Source organism: Homo sapiens, chromosome 6 (assembly GCF_000001405.40).
Source record: "Homo sapiens chromosome 6, GRCh38.p14 Primary Assembly".
NCBI classification, from domain to species: domain Eukaryota; kingdom Metazoa; phylum Chordata; class Mammalia; order Primates; family Hominidae; genus Homo; species Homo sapiens.
In genome coordinates this window covers 158,247,708-158,275,288 of record NC_000006.12, presented here as the reverse complement: position 1 = coordinate 158,275,288, position 27,581 = coordinate 158,247,708, and the positions used below count along the sequence as shown (strand labels likewise).

Below are 27,581 nucleotides of genomic sequence, written 5' to 3'. Positions count from 1 at the left end.
GAAGTTCAAACACCGTGGCAAATGAAGAAGATGGGCAGGACTAAGAGGAAAGCAACAACAACAAAAAAAGCAGCTGCAACTGTGCGGGACACTTGTAGCGCGTGGGCTCCAGACAGTGGCAGAACTATACAAGCACTCCACAACTCGGCACTGGACTGTGTTCCAGTCTAGTAAGATTTGGCTCTTTTGGAACTCAGAACACATTTTCAAAATGGAATGCTGATATAGCCTAAAATTAAACCTGTTCTTATTTCTTACTTATTTCTTTCTACACTGATCAAACTCTAGCCTTCAGGGAGCTTACATTCTAACAGAGAGAACAACAAAATGGAAGAGATCAATAAAAGGCTAACAAGAGGCAGGAAAGACTGGCATGTATGAGGATACGGAAAAGACCAGGACGTTGGGGGTTTGCTTAGGAGCGGCCTGTAGGCAACAGAAAGGGGCTTATATTTTATTCGGAGTGCAGTGGGAAGCCACTGGAAGGTTTTGGTTTTTTGTTTTTTGTTTTTGAGACGGAGTCTCGCTCTGTTGCCCAGGCTGGAGTGCAGGGGCGCAATCTCGGCTCACTGCAAGCTCCGCCTCCTGGGTTCAGGCCATTCTCCTGCCTCAGCCTCCCGAGTAGCTGGGACTACAGGCGCCCGCCACCACACCCGGCTGATTTTTTTGTATTTTTAGTAGAGACAGGGTTTCAACGTGTTAGCCAGGATGGTCTCGATCTCCTGACCTCATGATCCGCCCGCCTTGGCCTCCCAAAGTGCTGGGACTACAGGCGTGAGCCACTGCGCCCGGCCGCCACTGGAAGGTTTAAATGAAATGTTCTGGTTTTCATTTCAGGAACAACATTGTTGTGTGGAAGAGGACAGAGTGAAGGCAGAAAGCACAGGCAGGAGGCTGCTGCAGTGATCCGGGTACAGCTGGTGGTGGCCAGCACTAAGATGCTCATTAGAGAGAGGGACAAGAGAGCAGCTGGGAGGCAGGCTTTTGGTTTGTGTGTGTGGTGTTTTGTTTTGTTTTGTTTTTGTTTTTTTGAGAAAGACTCTCACTCTGTCGCCCAGGCTGGAGTGCTGTGGTGTGATCTTGGCTCATTACAACCTCCACCTCCCGGGTTCAAGCAATTCTCCTGCCTCAGCCTCCCAAGTAGCCGGGACTGCAGGTGCCCGCCACCATGCCCAGCTAATTTTTGTATTTTTAGTACAGATGGGGTTTCACTATGTTGGCCAGGCTGGTCTCGAACTCCTGACCTCATGATCCACCCACCTCGGCCTCCCAAAGTGTTGTGATTACAGGTGTGAGCCACTGCACCCAGCCCGGGAGGCAGGTTTTAACCGAGGGACGTGGAGCAAGTAACTTAATCTCTCTGTAATTCAGTTTTCTTACCTATCAATTAGAGATAATAACAGTATCTACCTCATGAATCTATGATAAGAATTCAATGAGTTAATATCTGTAACATGCTTAAAACTGTGCCTGGTACATACTAGGAGCTATATTAGCTATCACTATTACCACAACCTACCTCATGGTACTATTGTTAGGACCAGACAGATTATTTGTGTTAATTCGTGTAATATTTTTGAGGCAGTGCCGGCACATAATAAACTCTCAGTAAGTGTCAGCTATTACAGTTATGAATAATTCCCAATTGGTGGTGGCAGTAATTGAGCTGAAGAAGAATGGGACAGGGCATGGAGTTGCCATGAGCAGATGTGGCATGTTGAGTCTGCAATGTTTAGGAGACATCCAAATGGCAGGGTCAAGTAAATAGCTGGACACTTGCATCTGAACCTCGGAGTCAAAGTATAGACTGGAGATAAGTCAGTGTCATCGACATAAAGGTCAGTTTTAACTACAGAACTACAGAACATACTAAGCCCAGTGAGGGAGGATGAGGATGGAGGAAAGGCTCTAGTGGTGAGCCCTGTGGAACCCCACGTCAGGTAAATAAAGGTAGGGAGCCAGCAGAGGAGGGTGAGAAGGAAGAATGAACAGGGAGGAGGAAACCAACAGAGAGGGGAGTCTCAACACCTGAGCAAAGAGAGGGCCTGCAGAAAGGTCCAGTTCAATGAAGACATTGGATGTGGCTCCTGAAGCTTATCTGTTCTTTTAGCATCTTACCCATTTTGACTTTCCCTAACTTTCACTGGCAACACTGTCTGTGTGAAGAACACACATTCCAAGGACATCATAGTACAATGGGAAAAACTCTGTCCTTGGACTCAAGAGACCCAGGCTCAAGCTCCAGTGAAGTGTCGGGTAGGTCCCTCAACAAGGGCCTTCACTTTCGCCAAAGGCAAAATGACAAGATCGGACCAGATTCCCAAAGCCAGGTCATGAGATCTCTATGCATCTACAAACCCAATAATCAAAGTCCATAAGCTCTTTTTCAATATTTAAAACACATATTGATCGTTTCCTTAGCCTTCTAGCTAAGATAAAGTATGTATTGAGAACTACACATCTACTATAGTAAAGTTACACAAACCTAACTGTCACATTTGTTTTTGACTGAAACACTCTAGAAACTTGGAAAGCAGTAGTGATTAAGAAGGGGAACTCAGGAGGCTGACAGCCTCACTTCAAATCTTGGGTCTGTCAATGACTACTTCCTGCATTAGAGCTATGCTACTTAACTACTCAAGGTCTCAGTTTCCCCAACTGTAAAATGGAGGTATGACAAAACCTATCTCAGGCAGCTGTGGAGGGATTTCAGTGAGTTAATTGTAAGCTCTCTAAAGGAACTTCCTGATAGTTTCCTCCTCCCTTGTGATTCTTTCTGTCTCCTCTGCTTGTTCCTCTGCCTTGGCTGGCCTGGGATGCTGAGGTTCCACAGCACTCACTGCCAGATCCTCTTCTTCAGCTCCAGCCTCTCCCTCATTCAGCTCACATTAAGCATAAAAAACAAATACGAGCTATTAATACCATTATCTTGTACTGAACAACAATTCTTGGCTAGTAATAAGATCATAGCCATTGGGGCAGGAAGGGAGGAAGAAAGAAAATATAAAAAGAATCTGATGATAAAAACATTGGTGACCACTGGTAATTCCCAACTGAAAAATTCCACCTCTTTATGCTTGAAATGCACCTGTTGCCACATCACATGGTCCTTGGCACCTTGAATTAAAACCTAGTGGATAAGGCTTTCTCCTCTACCTGTCACCTCCCCGAGGACAGTAGCCACATCTGACTTGGTGACAGTGTATGCTCAGCAACTGTGGAACCAATCCCTGGGTACTTAACCAGCCCCTTCCCCCTAAATTCACTCATACATTTCTAATTTAGAAATTAAACGTTCTAAATATTTTTCCGCAAATACTTTTAAACCCTCCACTGCACATGTGTCCCAGTGAGTCCTTTCAATGACTTACCCCATCCTTTGTCTCACCTGAAGCAAATTCTACAGATTTTCAAACGTAGCATTTCAATGTTTCCCCCAAAACAGATTTATTCTCAGTGCTTTCCAACTTTAAACTAAAACTTCTCAGAACATTTTATTTTTCTTTAGGAGGACAGTTACACCTGAATCAAAGCTACCGTTTCAAAATTTTTAATGTGGGGCCAGGCGTGGTGGCTCATGCCTGTAATCCCAGCACTTTGGGAATCCAAGGCAGGAGGATGGCTTGAACTCAGGAGTTTGAGACTAGCCTGGGGAACAGAGTGAGACCCCATCTCTACAAAAAATTTAAAAATTTGCCAAATGTGGTGACCCGCCTGTAGCCCCAGCTACTCAGAGGCTGAGGTGGGAGGATCGCCTGAGCCCAGGAGTTTGAGGCTGCAGCAAGTTATGATGGCACACTGCACTCCAGCCTGGGTGGCAGAGCAAGAACCTATCTCAAAAAAAAAAAAAAAATTCTAAAATGGATTAAAGAAACCCTATCTGAGCTACAAGAGACAAAGCCTGTGAGAGTTAGATGTCTCCTTGCCCTTCCTCCTCATCAACAAGTCATGACACAACTTGAGGAAGCTGGACCTATTTTGGTTAGGCACCCACTTAACTTGGCCTTTAAATGCTTTCTTCATTACCACATGAGAAGCAACAATTGAAAATGAAACAAAACTCAACAGAGCAGTGACTAACATAAAACTGCTTATATTAAATAAACTCAGTACAGCATCTTTTTTTTTTTTTTTTTTTTGAGACAGAGTCTCACTTTGTCACCCAGGCTGGAGTACAGTGGCGCGATCTCGGCTAACTGCAACCTCCACCTCCTGGGTTCAAGCCATTCTCCTGCCTCAGCCTCCCATGTATCTGGGATTATAGGCACCTGCCACCATGCCTGGGTAATTTTTGTATTTTTAATAGAGACAGGGTTTCACCATGTTGGCCAGGCTGGTCTTGACCTCCTGACCTCAGGTGATCAACCTGCCTCAGCCTCCCAAAGTGCTGGGATTACAGGCATGGGCCACTGTGCCCGGCCCTACAGCATCTATTCACACTAAGCTGCTTTATAAACTCTGAGGCAAAAATGAAGGCAGCCTTGAAAGTTGCCACATTTAAGCACAAGGAAGCCTGGAGTAAATCACCTCTAATTCAGGAGCAATTTCATCTGTGAAGGAAAAACTTCAGGAAGAAATTTTGAAAGCTTGAGAAAAGCTTAAAAGGAGGCAAGCATCACATCAACAGATGATGTGTGTTAATTTTAGCTGCAATAGTCTAAAGTGCAGTGTCAAACCAGGAAAGCAGCCAAGCAACACTCAGGCCAGAGACGCTAACTGAGTGCCCATCACCGGCCCCGGTACCAGAGACACTTAGTGAGTGCCCACCACAGGCCGAACAGGCCGGGTGCTGACAATGCAAAACTCATCGAAGTCCAGTCCCTAGCCCCGAGAAGCACCCTACACAGTGAGAGAAGATGGGCAAAATAAACCAACTTCAATACTACAAGGTAAATCCTGTAATCAAGAGCCAAAAAAGTGCTGTGGAGCAGAGTTGAGAGAATCTTGCTGGAATGACCGGTCCCTGGCAGGATAAAGCCAAGGTAGGGTCTTCAGATGATGATGCAAGAGCAAAACAAAGAAAGAGAGCTCCAAGTTGGACCAAGTAAGGACAATTTACTGACAAAAATATCTCAATAATGAAGACTTTATAATAATCCAAGAGAAAATTAAGCCAGAGTTCTTAAGATAAATAGAAGGCTATTAAAGATATATAGAAGATCTAATTATACTGCCTGGATAGGAAAGGGTCTTACTGCTACAGAGTAGAATTAACGTATATTTAATAGATATGAATGCTGTACATTTGACACTTACTATTTAACTTTAAAACAATTAGCCTTTTCAAAAACTCAGTGTTTTTGTTTTTTCCTAGATCTAGAAGCAATAAAATGGGCTTAAGGAACACGGAATAAAGGGAGCAACCCTGTGAAGACCACAAAGGCAGAACAGTGACAGCAGCTCAGCAGCAAGACTGCCGGGCACCGGGCCTGGCTCTCCCACCACCTGACTGGGTAACTTTTCAAACACCTTCATTTCCCAAGAAGTAGGAATGTTGGGAAGACTAAATAAACATATGTCAAGTACTTAATTACCTGCCCACATAGTAAAGTGCTAAATAAATGTTGGACATTGCTTTTGCAATTTCATTTATATTCTACCCATTAAGCAATGTTTAAAATCTGGAATAAAATAGATTATTAAAGAAATATGCAGAGACAATTATCATTGACCCTGATTCCATCTGGAAATCAGGGATGAAGAATCACGGAGAAAAAAAGGTTAAAATTATCTCTGATCAAAATTAAAGTCTATCAAAATCTCAAATGGCAACGAATTCTTGCTGAATGGCCTTGTATGTGAATGCTAATGATTTCTCCATTACTAAGGAAGGGCCCACTTTGCATCTTACTCCATGTTCTCAGTCTCCCAGTGAGACAGGAAAATCCTTTTTTTTTTTTTTTTTTTTACAAATGCTGAAACTAAAGTTCAAAGAGTTTAAGTAAGGTTATGAAAAGTCACTAGGCTATTAGTGACATAGCTTAGTTCTGATATCTGGCTCCAAGACCCATACTTTTTTCCACCAAACTATGGTGCTAAAATTAACAACAGTAATTTCCACTCCACAACACTGTTACTTTGGAATAGGAAGAAAAAGTTGTGTAATTATCTGGTGAGAACAAAACAATGTATGAACCTAGGCCAACTCTATTCTCATATTCTCAGACTCGAGAATTTCTAGAAAAAAATAATAAATGGCAAACCCAAATTTAATTTTAAAATGACAAGAGCCACAAATTGGAAAGACCCTTCACAATGCTCTGGTCACTAAGCTTGGGTGTGGACATGGGTGACAAGCACTCTCCAATTCTAGTGCAGCTTTCCAAAAAGCAATTTGGCAATATGCAGAAAGTGACTAAAGCCAACAGTGCTAAAGGCTAAAGGGAGGATTAAGCCAAAGATGCTCACCAAAAGTGCTATTCAGTATCATTCTAGAAATTACAAGCAAAATATTACAACAGGAAAAAAAGTCATATAAAAATAGAAAAAAGTCATATAAAAATAGAGCCAAAAATCACCCTGATTTGTAAGTAATATAATTTTCCATCTGGAAAACCCAACAGAATCAAATGAAATCAGAACAATTAAGAGTTCAGTAAAATAGGAAAATGTAATTGCTATGATCCAAATGTTGGTGTCCCCCCAAAATTCCTATGTTGGAACCTAATACCAAATGTAATAGCATTACGAGGTGGGGCCTTTGGGAAGTGATTAAGCAAGCCCTCACCAGACAACAAGTCCACTGGTGCCTTGCTCTTGGACTTCTCAGCTCCCAGGATTGTGAGCAACACATTTCTACTGTTTATAAATTACCCAGTCTAAGGTATTTTGTTATAGCAGCCAAACAGACTAAGACAATAAATAGTACACAAAAATAAATTCAGGATGATGAATGAGCCATCTGTTTACCTTATCCCTCTCCCCAAAGTCCCATTAAAATGATCAAACAAGGCCGGGTGCAGTGGCTCACACCTGTAATTCCAGCACTCTGGGAGGCAGAAGTGGCCGGATCACCTGGGGTTGGGAGTTCAAGACCAGCCTGACCAACATGGAGAAACTCCGTCTCCACTAAAAATACAAAAAAAATTAGCCAAGTGTGGTGGTGCATGCCTGTAATCCCAGCTACTCGGGAGGCTGGGGCAGAAGAATCGCTTGAACCCAGGAGGCAGAGGTTGTGGTGAGCCAGGATCGCACCACTGCAATCCAGCCTGGGCAACAAGAGCAAAAGTACGTCTCAAAAAAAAAAAAAAAAAGAAAAAAGAAAAAGAAAAGAAAAGAAAAGAAAAGATCAAACAAATGTAAAAGAACAAAAAAAAATTTTAAAAACCTGTGGAAAACAGAGTGAGGTACCACTGATAAACCCTTCTCAATTTCTAGAAGACATGGAGGAGAAGGGATTCGACTGATAGAAAAGCACCAAGAGCCTTAATTCAGCCAGGCAAATGCAAGCACACCACCCTTGACTACAGGGCTTTAGGCAATGTCTGGCCAACAAACATGTCTATACCAACCCACGGAGGAAAACGGGAGGCTGACCTTGGCAGGCCTTCTTGCACCACATCCACACGGGAGCAAAATAGAAAAGGGGAGCAACACTCCAGTTAACTTTGGATTGCCACACAATTTGCTAATTGAGAAAGGGTATAAATTGTCCTGACAAAGCAGTGACCCTCCTAATTATTTGGAAGATTTACTATGAGATGGCTGCTAACTGTACACAGAGGCCTAACAGAGCAACAGAAGTGGGAGGGTCAGAAATCAAACTGAAGACCTTCTTCTGGAATCCTCCCAGGTCCTACCCTCCCTCAGTCTAACAACTAGATGAAAGGCAAGGACAACCTCCTTTGGTTACTCTGTATGAACCCACACTGACTTCTCACATCACTTAGTTGCTTTCATCTTCTGTGTTTGACATGTTGGCATATCAACTTCAGTATTCTTTGAGGGCAAAAATTGCATCTTCTAGTATGATTTATCTACTTGATGGCCTATTATGTCTTCAAAAAGTTTAATTACCCGGTGTCCATCAACAGATGAATGGGTTTCAGCACTGTCCTGGATTATAGAAAGAAAAAAACCCAGATGAATGGGTTAACAAAATGTGTATTGACATACAATGAAATATCATTCAGCCTTGAAAGGGAAGGACATTCTGACACATGCTACAACATGGATGAACCTTCAGAACATCATGCTAAGTGAAATAAGCCAGATATAAAAAGACAAATATTTTATGATTCCACTAATATGAGGTATCTAGAGTAGTCAAATTTATAGACACAGAAATAGAATGGTGGTTATCAGAGGCTGGGGAAGGGGTAAAAGGGAAGTGTTTGATGGGCACAGAGTTTCAGTTTGGGAAGATGAACAAAAGTTCTGGAGATGGATAGCGATGATGGCTGTACACCAACAGGAACGTACTTAATGCCACTGAATTATACCGTTGTCCCTCAATATCGATGGGGGTTGGTTCTAGGACCCATGTAGATAAAAAAATCCTTAAATGTTCAAGTCTCTCATATAAAATGGCATATTATTTGCACATAACCCATATGCATCCCTCATATACATCATCTCTAGATTATTTATATTACCTAATACAACGTAAATGCTATTGTTCTACTATATTTTTGTTGTATTTTTTTTCTTTGAACGTTTTCAGTCCTCACATGCAGAACCTGCGGATATGTAGAGCCAACTATATACTTTAAAATGGTTAAAATGGTACATTTTAGCTGGGCACAGTGGCTCACACCTATAATCCCAGCATTTTGGGAGGCCAAGATGGGCAGATTGCTAGAGCCCAGGAGTTCGAAACCAGCCTGGGAACAAGGTGAAACCATGTCTCTACAAAAAATACAAAAATTAGCTGGGCGTGGTGGCACGTGCCTGTAGTCCCAGCTACTGGGAAGGCTGAGGCATGAGATTCGCTGGAACCCGGGACGTCAAGGCTGCAGTGAGTCGTGACTGCATCACCGCCCTCCGGCCTGGATAAGAGTGAGACCCTGTCTCCATAAAAAAAGTAAATTTTATCACAATAAAAAATTTTTCAAAAAGAAGTATAATTATGAAAACCACTTTAAAACATGAAAAATGCTTATGCTATGTTAAATTTTAAAAGCTTCCAACAGTGTTTAAAATGTTGCTTAGAACTTTTTGGAAAAAAGTGCCTATGAGGAAAGAATTCAAGAGAATGCTATGCTTAAGAGTTATAACAATGGTGGAAGCTAGGGGTGATTTTCCCCCTTTTACAAATGTACTATTTTACTACTTTTCATGTTTAAACACACAAAAATAGCAAAATATGATACAGTAAGTATAATACCAAAAAGGTAAAGGCAATATGGCTATAACCACGAAGCTCCCTCATGTGTTACTCCTTTCTCCATTCATGGCATCCTGAATTTGGAGTGAAATACAAAAGTTTTATACATGCTTAATATTGGGGGTGCTGTCCAATGATCTAAGAACTGGTGGGGAGGTCTGGGCACACAGGTAAGATTTAAGTTTAATCAAAGAAACAGCTTTCTTCTTATCCTCATTCTCAATGCTTAAGAAAAAAAAAGTATTTGCCTTACTTGAGCCAAAATTTTTTTTTTTTTTCTTCTGAGATGGAGTCTTGCTCTGTCACCAGGCTGGAGTGCAGTGGCACGATTTTGGCTCACTGCAACCTCCGCCTCCCAGGTTCAAGCAATTCTCCTGCCTCAGCCTCCCAAGTAGCTGGGACTACAGGCATGCCATCACGCCCAGCTAATTTTTTTTTTTCTTTTAGTAGGGACGGGGGTTTCACCATGTTGGCCAGGCTGGTCTCGATCTCCTGACCTCGTGATCTGCCCACCTCGGCCTCCCAACGTGCTGGGATTACAGGGGTGCGCCACCCCACCTGGCCAACTTCCTCTTTAGCCACTACATTTAAGCCACCTCAAATGTTTTGTGGGAGAAGGTTAAGCTCTAAATAAGCAAGTAAGTAAAGTTGTCATAAAATAAAATTTATTTTAAAAAGGAGGGGTGGGGAAAGTGAAATGGAAAAAGAATCAGACCAGGAATCAGAAGACAGGTTCTGGCTAACCTGCTATTTCCTGGCTGAGAGACCTGGCATGGGGCTCAGCTCCCCGAAAGTCAGCTTTCCCATCTGCAAGTGAACAGACTATCTGCTCTGCCCTTTCTTAAGAACGCTGTAAAGACCAGTGGTGACAGTGCTGGTAAAGAAGCACTGAAAAAGTTAAGGTTCTTTCAGAGCTAAAAGGTGTGCCCTGTTAAATGCACAGTAGTAACTTGACTGCTCTGTGTTGTCAGAGGCACCACCTGAAGTTAGTCCCTCACAGATGCTTTTCTGCTTTTACCTTAGTACTTCTAACTTGTCATTTTGAAGGCACAGAGAATCCCCAGTCCTTGGAGCTCCCCCGGCTCCACATTTTTGATGCAGAGGTATGGTTCAAGGCATTCTATTTAAGACAGGACATTTCAGGGGCGGCACTGATGGTCTGTAGAACTTAGAGGCATGGAGAAGAGAGGGCCTCATGGGATAAAGGGTTTGCCACAACCCACATGCGGTGCTCCCAATGTTCATTCAACAGCAGGGCTCTTTCAGCACTATTCTGAAATATCACCGGCTTTTAAATCTTTTAAAGCTGAAAAAATGTTTCCTAGTCCTTTGAAAGTAGGCAATCTAGTAGCGTCAGGGACTTGTCCAGGCAGCCCTCCAGGTGCATCTTCCCCAGATCGATGTTTATTCAGGTGCCCACCAAGCCTTCCCCCAACTCCAGTAAGATGTCATACTACACAAGTCACATTTTCTGGAGAGGGAAAATGGCTTGAGTTTTAATTTTAAACACACAAATAAGCCAAATGGGTAAAACACCTTTATGACTGATGTGCAAATAAAGTAGATTTTGGTATGAAGATGACAAACCAACATACGTATAAATTCCGAAATTCTCAAATGGCACTAATTCCCAGAAATATCAGAGCAATCTTTCTTCAAATTGAAGTTCATTTAAGCAACGACACACGCCACTGCCCTCACCACCTCAGAGCCCGTAAAAACCTCTGAATGGGCTCCTGCGCTTTTCCTGAACGTGATTCTGTTAAGGCCGCACTTCCTCTGCGCCTGCCCAACCCCACAGGCTGCATAAATTTCACTGAAGTTTTTGTCTTTTACTTCATGAGTAAAATTTTGTTAAGTTTTTTCTTTATTCTGGCTTTTTGTTTTGTTTTTTTGTTTTTGAGACAGAGTCTCACTCTATCCCCCAGGCTGGAGTGCAGTGGTGCAATCTTGGCTCACTGCAAGCTCTGCCTCCTGGATTCAAACAATTCTCCTGTCTCAGCCTCCCCAGTAGCTGGGAATACAGGCACCTGCCACCACGCCCAGGTAATTTTTGTATTTTTAGTAGAGACGAGATTTCACCATGTTGGCCAGGCTGGTCTCTAACTCCTGACCTCAGGTGATCCGCCCGCCTAGGCCTCCCAAAGTGCTGTGATTACAGGCATGAGCCACCGCGCCCAGCCTGTTGTTGCTGTTGTTGTTGTTGTTGAGACAGGGTCTCCCTCTGTCGCCCAGGCTGAAGTGCAGTGGTGCAAACATGGCTCACTGCAACCTCAACCTCTCAGGCTCAAGCGATCTTCCCACCTTACTCTCCCGGGTAGCTGGGAAGACAGGCACATCCCATCACGCCCAGCTAATTAGTTTTTTCTTTTTGATAGCTTCATTCCACTACAGACCCAAGCCACTACCAAATTTAATACCTATTAATTTAGCCAAAATTTCTATTTTCTGGCTAATAACCCTCAGAATATTTACCTCCATCAATAGCACTAATAATTGCCTTTCTTCTCTAGAGTATTTTTCACAAAGGAATAAAGTCTTTAGCAGCTCAGGAGTTACTATTTATAAATTAAGCAGAGGATAATAAAACCAACTTGAGGTTGAAACGTTAAGTGGTTGGCTAGGCTCACTTAGCCATTCACTCCATGAGTGTCTAGTTCTTAGGAGACAGTCTCCCAGCTTAGGCCCAGTTGTAATTAGTGCTTCAGTCAAGTTACTAACAACCTGTCGTGGCCTTTCAGGGGTTACTGTTCAACAGTTCAAGTCCTGATATTAAATCCAAAAATGCTAAGCTGCTGAAAGGCTAAACAAACGATCTTATGTCAACCTAAAAATATTCTAACAAACTGGCAGCAGGTTTCTGAAGTACCACAGGTAATTTAAACGGGTAGGATGTTCAGTCTGGCACATCAATCATACACAGACACAGGGACACAAAGATACAGACACATCTGTTTTACTTCCTTGCCCTCAACCTCCACACATATGGTATTATTATGAGTGATGATGACGGGTCCCAGAGAGAAATGACTTGGCTGAAGTGATGTGGCTAGTTAGAGCTACATCTGAAAACCCAGCAGAAGAATGCTTCACCCCAACACCCATTCCAAAAGCAAAACAATTCCAAAATGTCCACAACCGGCTGCACTCCTGAAAAGCAAGGTGACATCGCAGGGTGCCAAATGATGTGGCATAGAGACAGCTGCTTGTCCTGGATGCTCTTCTTCTGCACCTGCCACTTCTGAATCTGCACATGCATCCCATGACACCACCCTCCAGCCTTCTTCCAGCCTTCTCTCAGACTCTTCCGGAATCCTCACTGAAAAGGATAACAGAATGCAGGGAGGGGTAACAGTTCAATTCTTTGCAGAAGAACTAGGAAAATTACTGACCTAAGCTCCTGAATGGGCAGGAGCCTTATCCAGTTTGTGCCCCATTGTGCCCAGCAGCTAGCTGTCCCTGCAAAGAACAATGTGCAGGAAGACTTCAGTGGTCATTGGCCTGGGTGAAGAATACGACCCCTGAGAATGTGCCTCTGAAACTGACCTCTGATTCACACGCTCTCCCAGGGAGCACTCAGCACCGTAGGCGTGTTACCAGTTACTTGAACCTAAGGAGCAGGCAGCCCACAACTAAAGTCTCCAGAAGAGCTCTGAGAACCAAAAGGGATGTTGTCAAAGCTGCGCCAACCTACAAAGGAGCTTGCAGAGAAACCTGCGGAGGCTGAGTGGGAATGATGGTGTGGTGTTTGTGACAGCAGGTGCCTTCAGGGACACGATGTCAGGGAATGAAGGCACTGGTGCTTCTCCCATATGCATGGAGGTGCACCCTTTCCACACCAAGGCAGAGACTGCCAGCCCTCTACCCAGTGTCCAGTCTCCCTTTCTTCCTCACCAACAGAATCCCGGTTTTATTTGGGGCAGCAAAATGCCCAGATCAAGGACTCATTTCCCCGCCTCACATGTAGTTGTTGCTGATGAAGCATAACAGAAAGTCAAGTTGTTAGGTGAAGAGGGAGCTTCCAGGAAAGATCTTTAAGGGGGTCTAGCTCATCTGGAAGATGAGTCCTTTGCCCTTCCCACCCTCTCTTTTCCTCCTGCCTGGTCATGGTGTGATTATTGAGCTCCAGCAGCCATCATACACTGTGAGGAACTCTGAGGCTAAAGATGGTGAAAGAGAAAGGCGGAGGAATCCTGGAACCCTGATCAGCAGGAGCCATGCAACCAGCCCACGCCCACCAGCCTCCAGACCGCTACATGAACAGTCAACATTCATTTTGTATGAGCCGCCTGAGTTTTCTGTTACATGCAGCTGAACCCTGCACGTTAAAGAAATTCATATCCCTCGCCTTTATTTTTTAAGACTCTCCATCAATCAAATCACTGTCTCATTTTGACATTTATGTTCATTAAGTATTTGAATAATTGGATCTTACCCTTGAAGCCCAAGACATTTACCAGGTCCCAAGAGGTTCCGAGACTGCTCCCAATTACCTAAGTTATCTGCGGGGAATATCCTACAGTCTTAAGCTACTCTAAAACTTCAGCCCTAGAGCGTGATGGCTGAAAGGAAAAAGTGTACTTGTAGCGCTTATGCTTCTTAACCCACTGACCATGTCCTCAAATCAAACTGCACTGTACAAAATGGTAGTCACTAGCCACATATGGTTAAATTAAGTACAATTAAACAAAAATATAAATTATGTTTCTCAGTTGCCTTAGCTGCATTTCAACTGCTCAACAGCCTCCACGTGCCTGGTAGCTACCTTACTGCACAACAATATAGATGGTTTTTATCATGCCAGAAAATTCTCCTGGAGAGCACTGATCTAGAAATACACTTTTCAGCCGCGCACAGTGGCTCACTCCTATACTCCCAGCGCTCTGGGATGCTGAAGCGGGCGGATCACCTGAGGTCAGAAGTTCAACACCAGCCTGGCCATGGTGAAACCCCATCTCTACTAAAAATACAAAAAATTAGCCGGTCGTGGTGGTGTGCACCTGTAATCCCAGCTACTCGGGAGGCTGAGGCAGGAGAATCACTTGAACCTGGGAGGCGGGGGTTGCAGTGAGCCGAGATTGCGCCATTGCACTCCAGCCTGGGCAACAAGAGCGAAACTCTTGTCTCAAAAAAAAAAAAGAAAAGAAAAGAAAAGAAATACACTTTTCCCCAGGCGTCGATGACAGCCAGTTCTCCTTGTGTCCCTTCCACCTCCCCAGGCATTCCCCAGCCCCTCATCCTCTACTCACTGCTCAAATGCTGGCATTTCTCAGAACTCTATCTAAATCCCTCTTCTCCCCTCACTCTGCCTAGGCGATCTCCTTCAGCATCAACTGTCATCCTTATGCAGAAGGCTTAAACACTAATGAACATTTTTTTTTTTTTTTTGAGACAGAGTCTCGCTCTGTTGCCCGGGTTGGAGTGCAGTGGCGTGATCTCTGCTCACTGCAAGCTCCGCCCCCCGGGTTCATGCCACTCTCCTGCCTCAGCCTCCCGAGTAGCTGGGACTACAGGCGCCCACCACCTCGCCCAGCTAATTTTTTGTATTTTTAGTAGAGACGGGGTTTCACCGTGTTAGCCAGGATGGTCATGAACATCTTAATATCCTCAGAAACTTCCTGCAAGAACCCAAGTTTTATCTAAATCATGGATGTGGTAGAAAGAATATATCTGGGTTTTGCCCTTGTTCCTGGCACAGAACTCCGAAAACTCTTAGAATGTTCTGGGTGACAGGAGTGTCTTTTGTTATCTGTGAAGAGTCACTTCTGACCACATCTGAGTCTGCACTAATGAGGTGACAGAGGGTGGGCCCTTAGAGCATTTCAAGGGATGGGCTGGCCATTCCAGAAAGACCAAGCATATGATTAGAGGGCCAGAACTTCCATTCCCACCCCTGACCTCTGGGAAGAAGAGGGGCTGGAGACTGAGCTCAATCACATGACCAACGATGTCATAAGACCCTGATACGATAAACACCTGAGCTCAAAGAGCTTCCTGGCTGATGAATACATTGATGTGCCAGGAGGGTGATGCCCCTGACTCCATGGCATGGGAGCTCGGCATCCAGGACCCTCCCAGGTCTTGCCCTATGTGTCTCTTCCATTTGGCTGTTCCTGAGTTGTATCCTTTATCATAAAACCATCTTCTGTGAGTTTAGTGAGTTGTTTTAGCAAATTATCAAAACTGACAAGGTGGTGGAATCCCCAAATTTACAGCCAGTTGGTCAGAAGTCCAGGTAGCATGAAGACTTGCAATTGGTATCTGCCATGAGAGCAGCCTTGCAGAACTCATGTCTGACATTCAGTTCAGGTGGTTGGTGTCAGAACCGAGTTGAAGTGACACCAAGCTGGTGTTAGAGCACTGGTGTCAAAGCATTATGACCTCTTAGCCACTGTTCGGATATTTAGTTAATAGTGGTTCAAAACTGCGATAAATAAATGATGCTTTCAATTCACCTTGGATTACTGCATACAGGTTCACAATTCACACAGAATATTCAATCCCAACTGAATTCCATAGAGTTCTCAAAATCACAGAAGATATCTATGTGCATAACCAAACAACCATAAGAGGAAGAGCTATTTTTCATAACCTCAAAAGTCAGTGGAGTATGTGATCTAACAATGAATCAGTGACCCTGATGAGATACAATGACAGCAAGGGAGGACAGATCCACTGGCACACACTAATTTAAGTGAAAATTCAAATTATAATATGAAATTAGTAGATTTTAGAAAAGGGCCTTCTAACAGCAAGCTCTGGCTGAAGTGCAATGGCGCAACCTCGGCTCACTGCAACCTCTACCTCCCGGGTTCAAGCGATTATCCTGTCTCAGCCTCTCGAGTAGCTGGGATTACAGGCACGCACCACCACCCTTGGCTAATTTTTGTATTTTCAGTAGAGGTGGGGTTTCACCATATTGGCCAGGCTGTTCTCGAACTCCTGACCTCAGGTGATCCACCCGCCTCAGCCTCCCAAAGTGCTGGGATTACAGGCATGAGCCACTATACCTGGCAAATTTAGAATATTTATATTTATCCTGTTTTTTCAGGTATATATATCCCATGTCAAGCTACCCTGCTTGGTTAAACTTTGGCCACAATTTCTCTAAGCTCAAATAATGCTGACGTGAAAATAAGCTATAATTTATTTTACTAAAAAAGAAATTTGATTTTACAAAAAGCAGCTTCCGAATTTGTTCAGCAGGTTCAAATTTTCAATCTTGAAGGATTTTTTGTTAGCACTGGTGATGGCGGCATTTTGTTTTAATTTAGTTTTTTATTTGATTGTTTTGTTTTGCTTTAAATTTTAATGCAAGGCTTCAGAGCTTTCACAGCCCAGGTCCTTTCCTATTTGTTAACTGTTGGAGTGGTGTCTCTAACATTTTTATAAACTGCAGCAAGGACGGACCTTCTGCTGAACCTCAACGACTTCCTTAATGGCTTCCATCCTCCCACCATTACCATGGAAGTCACTATTTTCTACACCAACTCATCAGCTCTTCCCTGGAAATTCTGGAACACAAAGAAAATAGTCTCTCTCTGGACACCTGGGTCATAATATGAAAAACATGGGGCTGGCAGCCATGTTGTGCCACCTGGACCAAACAGCAGAGACTGCTGGTCCATGACAGAAAAGGAATAACTCAGAAACACTGAGGGAGTGGACAGCTGGAAAAGAGGCAGAAGACAAAAGAGAGAAAGAAAGAGTGTCCTCCTGGCCCCATCCATGCAGCATCCTAGCCCAATCCCTGGCTCCTGACCTGGATTCCGTAGACAGCCCAGAATCCTTCCAACGAATTCCCTTTTTTTGTGTTAGTTGAGTTAGGTCTCTTTCACCAGTAACCAAGAATCCCCTGACTAATAGAGGGTTCTACAGTCCTTTCCGCTGATTGTTTTGAAAGAGGCAAGATAGAAACCTACAGGTGGTTGACTGAACCCAGCAGAGTCCTAGAGCCAAAAAGAGATCAGCCACCCCTTGGAACCTGCTCCCGTGGCAGGGCTTAGACCACAGAACCCTAACTTGCAGCTCCACACCAGGCCACTGCAGCGCTCCACAGCAACTTTCTGGTAGGCCCTTGGGCCACAGACTTAACTCCTCCAGCCAACCTACCAACTAATGCTAGGTTAAAGGGGAAATGAGTTGTTCTCTATTTCGTACCGCTGCTTTGAGAGTATAATATGGGGGAGACAAAGTAAAGTTTTCAGGATACCATCAGAGACAACATACATGGAGGGTACAGCTTCCCCAGCTGCAAGGGCAGCAAATCAAACCCAGAAGAAATGTGGGCACAGCACCTCCATTCACCTAATCAACTCCTACAGGAAAGAAGTAAATGCAAGCTGCAAAACCAAAGGGACATCATATTAGAGAAAACATGCTGATGATTCATCATACAGAAGAAGCAACCGTTATTTTTAAAGTCCATGAAAGCACCTGGTTGAAACATGACACACCATGGCGGCTGCACAACAATATAAATGTTGTTTAATGGCCCTGAACTGTACATTGAAAAATGATTACAATAATATATTTTGTTATGTATATTTTACCACACTTTTTTAAAAAGACACATCATAAGAGTTTGAGACAGACTGAATTCCCTCCATTGCAAACACACCACAGGCAGTGTACATGTGACAGCCGTATAAATAACATGTTCCCTGGCCTGAGGCAACTAAGCACAGAGCTGAGGCTGACCTGAGTGGTGAGTCTGGGTGGGCAGAAACGAACAGAGTCCTGGCTTTTTGTTTTTTGGGAGGGAGAGGGGGCAGGGGTTGTCAAACAAAGTAGGCATCTTCTGAAATGAGTAACAACAAAAACTCACTCCACAGTCCATTTTCTCCAACCTACTAACCTGGTTGGAGATCAGGCTACTAAGCCTGATCAGCACGGTCTTAACATTACTAATTTCTAAATATTTCAACATAAATGGAACAGTTCCTCACTCCTCAGAAATCACTGCTGGTTTCCTATCAGCCACAAACAGATGGCAGCTCAGGAGAGTCCTGTTCCCATTATGCCAACTTGGCAGGAGGCTCACCTGCTGCCACCTGAAACACCAATCCCTCCCACCTTTACACAGAAGGCTCCCAAACACAACTAAAATCCTGCCTGGATACCCACTGATCAGCATCCTTAAAAGCATAGGGGGGAAGTCTCATTACAACTCCACTAATTAATAAACATAGGGAGGGACGACATCACGTCCTAATATAATTACAAGAATACTGTAGCTTTTCATTGCAGTTCCACTATATGGTTCAGACAGGTTCCCTGCCTGATTACACTGGGCTGTAATCCAGTTTTGCTAATATATCCATATGTATAAGAGTGAGAGCAGATCTTATATCAAATCTAAAGGAAAACTTTTGGAAATGCTAAAAAGTTCAATTTCAGACATATTAATACATCCTCAACATTTTATTTACAATAAGACCACCAATCTTGTTTTTATAACCGCCAACAGGTTTCTTGGTTTCTCGGCTGCAACTTTTTTATTGAAGTGATCAAAGACTTAGAGAACAACAGGATGTTCACAAGTTACCCTTAAAGTAGAAAACATGAAAGCTGCCTGTGTGAGTGTGGTATATGTGTGTACATGTTAGTATACATACCACGTATACACACACACACAGAAGTTATATATATACATACATACAGAAACACATACACACATGCACGCACTGGCAAAGAAAAAAGAAAACAATCTGGGCTGTTCACTTCATCAGATTCCAAGCAAAGATGCTCTTCTGTGCTTTCTGGACACACCTACTAATCACCAAAGCCTTAACCACTGACTGCTCCTTGCCTGCTCAGCAAATCAAACTCAACTCTGGAATGTTAAGCCAAGGTGTTCTTCAGGAGGAGTAGCTTAAGTAACTAGAGAGTTACTTTAAATAGTAAGAGTTCACTGCATTCATGCCATAGCCCAGTACTTAAACCTATAACAGGCTCTGCTCTTGCGATAAAGACCAAAATCCTTAAATGTGGCACACGAGGCCCAGCAAGAAAAGGGATCTCTCCCACCAAGGCCTCTGCATTTCCCCAGGGAAGCCACCTCTGACCTTCTGACTAGATCAATTCTGCCTTTATACCCTGTACTTCTTCATGCAATGAGGGAAAGAATGACAGCTATTGCATCAGTTAGCACATCTTCGGTTGCAAATAACAGATAACCCTAACTTAAATTGGTGTAAACAATAAGAAAATTTATTTCACAGAACAAGTCCAAGGTTAGTGGGTGCCAAGCATGGTGCACTGGGGCTCTGCAGAGTTCTCTCTGCTGTTGGCTTGGCTCAGTCCTTAACCTGATGTTGGCTTCATGCTCAGACCAGTAGCAAAACAATTGTAACAGTTCCAGGCACCACACCCAGACATGACAACTTTCAGAGGAAGAAAAGGCCACCATTCTTAGAGTTGTTGCTGTAAGGCTGAGTTTTCCAGAACCTCTGGACAGACCTCCCACTAATCTCACTGACCAGAACTAGGTCTCTGGCTCACCCCTACAGTCATCACCTACGGAGAATGGGACCCATGTGACTAGCTGAAACCAGTCAGGATTTACCCCAGTGCTAGGGATAAGATCACCTTCCCCAGAGTCACACAGGAGACAAGAGGCTCTCTAAACAAAATTCCAATTCTACTTAGAAAGAAGGGAAGAAAGAACATTAGATATGCACTCGACAGGGTCTGCCGGTTATCAATTTAGGGTACATGCTCTGGTCCCCAACAGTGTCTACAACTGCCAAGAGAAAGCCCCCTCCAGCAACACCTGCAGGGGGATTCATAAACATGACAGGATCCATGCAGAGGGAGGCCACAGGGTGGGGGTGAGGGAGTAAGACAAGGGACACAGAGTTTTTCTGTTGCTTTTGTTTTGTTTTGTTTTTGAGACAGAGTCTCACTCTGTCACCCAGGCTGGAGTGCAGTGGCGCAATCTCAGCTCACTGCAACCTCCACCTCCTGGGTTCAAGTGATTCTCCTGACTCAGCCTCCTGAGTAGCTGGGACTACAGGCACCTGACACCATGCCCAGTTAATTTTTGTACTTTTAGTAGAGACAGGGTTTCGCCATGTTGGCCAGGCTGGTCTGGAACTTCCGGTCTCGGGTGATCCACCCACCTCAGCCTCCCAAAGTGCTGGGATAACAAGCGTGAGCCACGGCACCTGGCCGGAACACAGAGTTTTTAATCAGGAGATGCAGACTCAAGTCTCAAGACTTCTGCTTAACATCTCATGACTACAGGCAAATCTCAGCCTTAGTTTTCTCATAAAATACAAAAATATGTGCTTGACATATTGTGCAAGGTGGCTGTGAAGACCAAATGAAATGGCATATGTGGAAAAATACTTTGTAAACTAGGGGTTAAACATAAGTAAGCAATGATTATCACTTACAGTGGAAAAAGTCACAAACCATTCAAAAAAACTCCTTGGAGAAAAGGCCAACACTCTTATCTGGCCAAACTGAAGTATGTGTAATCTACTAATGGACATCTACCTTAAAAATGGTGTTTCTGGGCTGGGTGTGGTGGCTCACGCTTGTAATCCCAGCACTTTGGGAGGCCAAGGCTGGTAGATCACTTGAGGTCAGGAGTTTGAGACCAGCCTGGCCAACATGGCAAAACCCCATCTCTACTAAAAATACAAAAATTAGCCAGGCATGGTGGCGCATTCCTGTAATCCCAGCTATTCAGGAGGCTGAGTCATGAGAATCATTTAAACCCAGAAGGCGGAGGCTGCAGTGAGCCGAGATCATGCCATTGCACTCCAGCCTGGGCCACAGAGCAAGACTCTGTCTCCACTGATTTACTAATGACTTGGTTGGAGGCCAAAACCAGGATTCCCTTCTCCACTCTTTCCTTGACCCCTCCTCCATAGGCATGCACAATAATCAGATTCTCACTGTTTTCTTTTTTTTTTTGAGACAGAGTCTTGCTCTATCACCCAGGCTGGAGTACAGTGGGGCAATCTCAGCTCACTGCAACCTCCGACTCCTGGGTTCAAGCAATTCTCCCTGCCTCAGCCTTCCGAGTAGCTCTGATTACAGGTGCCTGCCACCAAGCCCAGCTAATAATTTTTCTATTTTTAGTAGAGACGGAGTTTCGCCATGTTGGCCAGTCTGGTCTCGAACTCCTGATCTCAGGTGATCCGCCCACCTTGGCCTCCCAAAGTGCTGGGATTAAAGGCATGAGCCACCATGCTCGGCACATTCTGTCTTCTATATGGAAAGGTAGGGCAGTGGCGTTCTGTAGGTCAGAAAATGTTAAGAAAATCAAAAAAAGTGTTTTAGTTAGAAAGAGGGGAGATTATTTGAATGCACAAATAGAAGCTACTACTGGTCACCCATGAGAAAGCTCAGGTCAACTAACATTAACAGGTGTAAGCTGAGAAGCCACAAGATAATAAATCCAGAGGCATCTAAGGCCTCCCTGCTAATGCTCTTTTGACCAGGTAGCCCACCTGACATGAAGCCACTCAACATGCAGCCTGCTCTGCCTAATTCCCTGCCCGCCCTCTCCATCTCTTAGTTTTGTCCATCTGTCTCCACTTACGGCAGGGCAGAGACAGGAGAGCAGGCCACAGAGATTTTCAAACCTATCTGAAGAGTAAGACACGTGTTTATTCAGGCAACATGTCTCGTCTAGGCAATAAAGTTGGAAGACTGGTCATGCCTCACACCTAGATCCTGGAGGGTGATGTATAGGAATACATTCTTCCTCACAGTGAGGGTGACTTTCTCTCCTAGACTTAAAAATCAGCAACAACATATCCTAATTTTCCACTCAGGTCCAGGCAAAAGAACGAGACAGCAGAGTGAGAGCAAAACATCTTAGGGAATTAAGATGAACAAATAATGGAAAATAGAAGCAGTGACTGACAATTCGCATGGGATTTCTATGCCCAAGTTTCTTGTGGCCTCACACATGCAAAGCAGCATCCCTGCCAACGCGTAAGCTTCATGGAGCAGATGCGTCTAATAAGACCAATGCCTAAGATTATTTTCCATCTAAATTACCATATGTGTGTGAAAGGACTGAACTGTAAAGCTGTAAAGTTCTACACAAACGCGGATAGAAAAACCCACCCCATCTAAATCCAATGTGGTAACCTGGAAAAAGTACATTAGTGAAAAAACCGGGCTGCTCTGCCTACGGAGTGGCCATTCTGATAAGGGGAAAAAAAGAAAAAACTGGCAAAATCTGAAAGAAGTCTAGTGTTCAATTAATAATAATGTACCAATGTTAATTTCTTAGTTTTGACAAATGCTCTAGTTATGTAAGATGCTGGCTGGGCGCGGTGGCTCACACCTGTAATCCCAGCACTTTGGGAGGCCGAGGCGGGCAGATCATGAGGTCAAGAGATCGAGACCATCCTGGCCAACGTGGTGAAACCTCGTCTCTACCGAAAATACAAAAAGTAGCTGGGCATGGTGGTGCGCACGTTTAGTCCCAGCCACTTGGGAGGCTGAGACAGGAGAATCGCTTGAACCCAGGAGGCGAAGGCTGCAGTGAGCTGAGATCATACCACTGCACTCCAGCCTGGGTGACAGAGCGAGACTCCACCTAAAAAAGTAAATAAACAAAAGCTTATAAAAAAATTAAAAATACCCAACATCTGCTCAAGAAAAAAAAAAAAAGAAAAAACATTCTATGGGAAAAAGACTTTCTAAAAAATCAAGGTAGAAACAATGGAAAAAAGATCGATAGGTTTGACTACACAGAATAAACTTTTACACATCAAAATATGTCATGAACATGGAGTTACAAGGCAACCAACCATGAAAAATACTTATACACCTAAGAGGTAACACAGTAAACTCCATAAACTTAAAAAAATGAAATGCTACAGGCCTAGATGCTCTATCTGCTACAACTGCTTCACACATTTCAAAACCGTCCAAACTCACATTCAGAATCTCCTTCAACTACATGTTTTGTCCCAACCATCCAAACCCTCTGGGTTCTCTGCAGCCTGAGAGTTCTGCTAGAGAAAGTGGAGCTTCAATGCAGCTAACCTCTGTTTAATCTGACTATTCCTAACCAAAATCTTCTAGAATCTAAAACCTTTCCTCTTTGAGCTCAGTATATCAAGCTTAGCTACTTGGTGCCTACAATAGTGATCTGGTCAAACCAGAAGTGGGGGTCCTGAGAAAAGACTAAGGAGTACAAAGACTCTGCACTGTCAAAACTAGACTCAAATTTCAGCACCAGCCAATCAGCACCAGAAGAGGGAAGTGGAAAAGCTTCAATGCATGCGAGCAGTCATTTTCCACCTGAAGCCCCATTTACCTGGATTTTTAGAGAGACTCACATATCCAAAGAAAAAGCATCTTTTAAAATAAAATACAGTTACTCATAACTCAGCAGTTTACATTAGAGCCAATCTATCTCAGGAATTTTTTGATTGTTGTTTCTGTGTGTTTTTAAATGTACAAAGAGACCAGAGAATTAGAAGAGACAGTGTACTTCTTTCAAATGTCCCTATATATAAAAAATAGTTTATATTAAGTCTAAGTTAGAATCATATTAAAAATATTAGTTATATTAAGAATTAAGAGGCAGAAGCTTGTAAATCTCACATGACAATGAAGTTCCACACATGAATACAGAAGCCAAGAAACAAAATATTTTTCACACAGAAGAGTATGACCGTATTAAACCACCGAACTAAAAATTCAGTAGCTGAAGGTATGCATCCCAGCTGATTAACAATCTTTCAATAACATTAGATAAACCCATGCTATAAAATATTAATAATCTGCTTCTCAAAATAATATTATGTGGTAACAGACAGTACTTAAGGCCAGGCGGACACAAAATGAAGAGAAAGGAATTAACCAAATCTTAACTTCTCAGGGCTCTTTTGTGATCTAATTTGTGAATGCGCCCAGCCTCCCCTGTCTGCCTCCTTCTTGGGACATCTCATCTGGGGTCCACTCTACCACTCAACACCAAAGGAGCGAAACCAATTCTGCTAGTCATTAACAATCTAGTGAAAGGTTTGGTAATAAATAATGAATAAGTGATGAAAATTAAAAGGGGGAAGTCATTGGCTTAAACTGACCTCCATAGATCACTGGTATCACTCACCTGATAGTGCTTCCTTGTATACATCAAGTTTTGGCTGTCTTGTATACATCAGAGTAACAGATCAATTCCCTATTAGTAAAATCACATGCCATTTTTCTCAGTCATGTGGGGGAGAAAGAACTTCACCAACTAAACATGGGTGAAGGACAGCCAAGGAGATTCCATTTATATGACCATCAGTCAGCCAAGGAGACAAGAGGTATTTGCGAAACACAGAAAACAAAGCTAAGAAAGGGAAGAAAAAATGTGGTATCCCAAGGCTCTCAGAATTAAGAACAATACTCCTACCATTTCTGAACCATATGGTCAACCTTGAGACTTCTCTATTTTACAATAAATTTATAGAAAGCTGATTCCAAAGCACCTCATAAACATTATTGCTTCTATATCTCTCTCTAAAGAAAAGCATTTTGGCGCCAGGTATAGTGGCTCATGCCTGTAATCCCAGCACTTTGGGAGGCCAAGGCAGGCAGATCACGAGGTCAAGAGATCGAGATCATCCTGGCCAACATGGTGAAATCCAGTCTCTACTAAAACTACAAAAATTAGCTGGGTGTGGTGGCAGGCGCCTGTAGTCCCAGCTGCTCGGGAGGCTGAGACAGAATAATCGCTTGAACTCGGGAGGCGGAGGCTGCAGTAAGCCAAGATCGTGCCACTGCACTCCAGCCTGGTGACAGAGCGACACTCCGTCTCAAAACAAAAAAAAAAAAAAGAAAAGAAAAGAAATGCATTTTAACTAGGAATGGTGGCTCATGTCTCTAATCCCAGCACTTTGGGAGGCCAAGGTGGAAGGATCACTTGAGTCAGGGAAATCAAGGTGCAGCGAGCTATGATTGTGCCACTGTACTCCAGCCTGGGTGACACAGCAAGACTCCGTCTCAAAAAAAGAAGCAGTTTTAGCCTAGCAGGGACCAAATGATACTTAATATTACTCTATCAAATTTCTTGCACAAAAATGCACATAAAATACAATTCTCACTATCATTGACTACTTTTTATACTGTATCACAAAATTTTTCAAGGCATTTTAATTGGTCAAAAACTTTAAATAAACATATTCCATATAGCAATGTAATTGAGCAGCTTGTTAATGGTCCAGAAAAAGTCTGAAAGTGATAGTTAAAATTAAAGGTTAATGTAATTAAGATAAAACTGAATGAGAGAGAAAATTTGTGGAGTTCCTATCAGGACTTTGCTCTCCACTGATAACACAGACCCGGCTGTCACAGCCATTGAAGTTGTGAGGAGGGAGATGCAAAATCAAACACAAATAGAATGTCATAAATCCAAAAAGGCTGGGAACTGATGCATTAGAGTAAGCTACAATAGATAGATTCTGGGCAGCATCCCAATCCTACACTACCTAATTTATTCCCAAGTCCCTCAGAGGCAAAGCTGGGTAAAAAGACGAAACAGAATGCGTGCCACTTTCATTCTCACTTCTGTCCCAGTATTAAAAATAATTACTAATGGAATAAGATAAGCAAAATGTGAGCTTTCTGTCTTTTATTAAGAGTTATTGTGCATTACCCCCAAACATTTCAAATATTAGATTATTTATTTCATTATTCAGGCAACAGAAAATTAACTCAGAAAAGTAGTTTCTACATATGAAACATAAGACTGAGTTTCTCATTTCATGGGAAAATATAACAAGAATAAAAATGGTAAAGGCTCAAATCACTTGTAAGGCCTGGAAAAGGTGACCTCAGTGTCAACCGCATTCATCTTATGGGCTTCTCCTATGACCCAACCTCTTTTTTCTTTTTTTTTTTTTTTTGAGACAGGGTCTCACTCTGTCACCCAGCCTTGACCTCCCTGGGCTCAAGTGATCCTCCCACCTCAGCCTCCCACCTAGCTGGGACCACAGGCACTTGCCACCACACCGGGCTAATTTTTTACATTAGTTGCAGTGATGAAGTAGGTCTAGCTATGTTGCCCAGGCTGGTCTCCAACTCTTGGGCTCAAGCAATCCTTCCACCTAAACCTGTCAACGTGCTGGGATTACATGTGTGAGCCACCACGCCTGAGCAACCCAACCTCTTTAAACCTCTTTCTCTCAGATACATTAAATCCAGGCATCACTATTTATTTATTTATTTACTTACTTACTTATTTATTTATTTTGGAGACTGGGTCTCGCTCTGTTACCCAGGCTAGAGTGCGGTGGCACAATCATGGCTCACTGCAGCCTCAACCTCCCCAGGCTCAAGCGATCATCCCACCTCAGGCCTCCGAGTAGCGGGGACACAGGTGCACCACCATGCCCAGCTAGTTTTTAAATTATCTGTAAAGAACAGACGCCGGGCACGGTGGCTCATGCCTGTAATCCCAGCACTTTGGGAGGCCGAGGTGGGCAGATCAGAAGGTCAGGAGGTCGAGATCATCCTGGCTAACACAATGAAACCCCGTCTCTACTAAAATACAAAAAAATTAGCCGGGCGTGGTGGCGGGTGCCTATAGTCCCAGCTACTTGGGAGGCTGAGGCAGGAGAATGGCGTGAACCCAGGAGGCAGAGCTTGCAGTGAGCCAAGATTGCGCCACTGCACTCCAGCCTGGGCAACAGAGCGAGACTCCGTCTCAAGAAAAAAAAAAAGACGAGGCCTGGCTATGTTGTCCAGGCTGGTCTCCAACTCCTGCATTCAAATGATCCACCCAACTCAGCCTCCCAAAATGCTGGGATTACAGGCATGAGCCACCATGCACGGCCAGGCATCACATTTTAATGGCATTCTCTAATCTGTTAACATACAGTTAACAGTTAAATTCTCTGATTATTTAACAACTCTAAACAGTAACTCTGCCGAAAATGTCAGCTTTGGCTGATGGGTTTTGTGCGCACAGCAGAAGCCTAACTTCTTATGATATAGGTCTTGATATTCTAACCACTGGAGCTGAATTTGTGCCTCCGGTTTTGTGGCTAAGAGGGTCATTTGAAGCTTAAGAAACTGATTACGTGTAAAGATAATCCTGTATATTTTCTCAGCCTATGGTAACATCACTGCTGATCAACTTTTCATGAATATTAAAACTGCCCCGGCACTAACAGCTCGGTTTGTTGTCTGAGGATCTCTGACACTACCATTTTGCCATAGCTGTTCGTAACAATGATGTGCATTTCCCCATGGAGGTAAACACACTCTTAATAGCCAAAGATAGTGG

General features: G+C 43.5%; 1 protein-coding gene across 12 annotated transcripts in view; it reads right to left on the bottom strand.

Annotated features, from left to right (window-relative positions):
* The window catches only part of TULP4 (TUB like protein 4), a 279,634-nt gene that overhangs the window by 236,540 nt on the left and 15,513 nt on the right, over positions 1–27,581 (bottom strand). For 2 of the 12 annotated variants that reach the window (XM_047419081.1, XM_047419086.1), the window contains exon 2: positions 8,017–8,055. The exons of 9 other annotated variants lie outside the window; for them this stretch is intronic. The gene's annotated coding sequence lies outside the window, so the exon portion shown is untranslated. Of the gene's footprint in view, positions 1–8,016; positions 8,056–12,464; positions 12,645–27,581 lie in introns of all 12 variants that reach the window. One more of the 12 variants, XM_047419082.1, reaches the window with a different exon arrangement.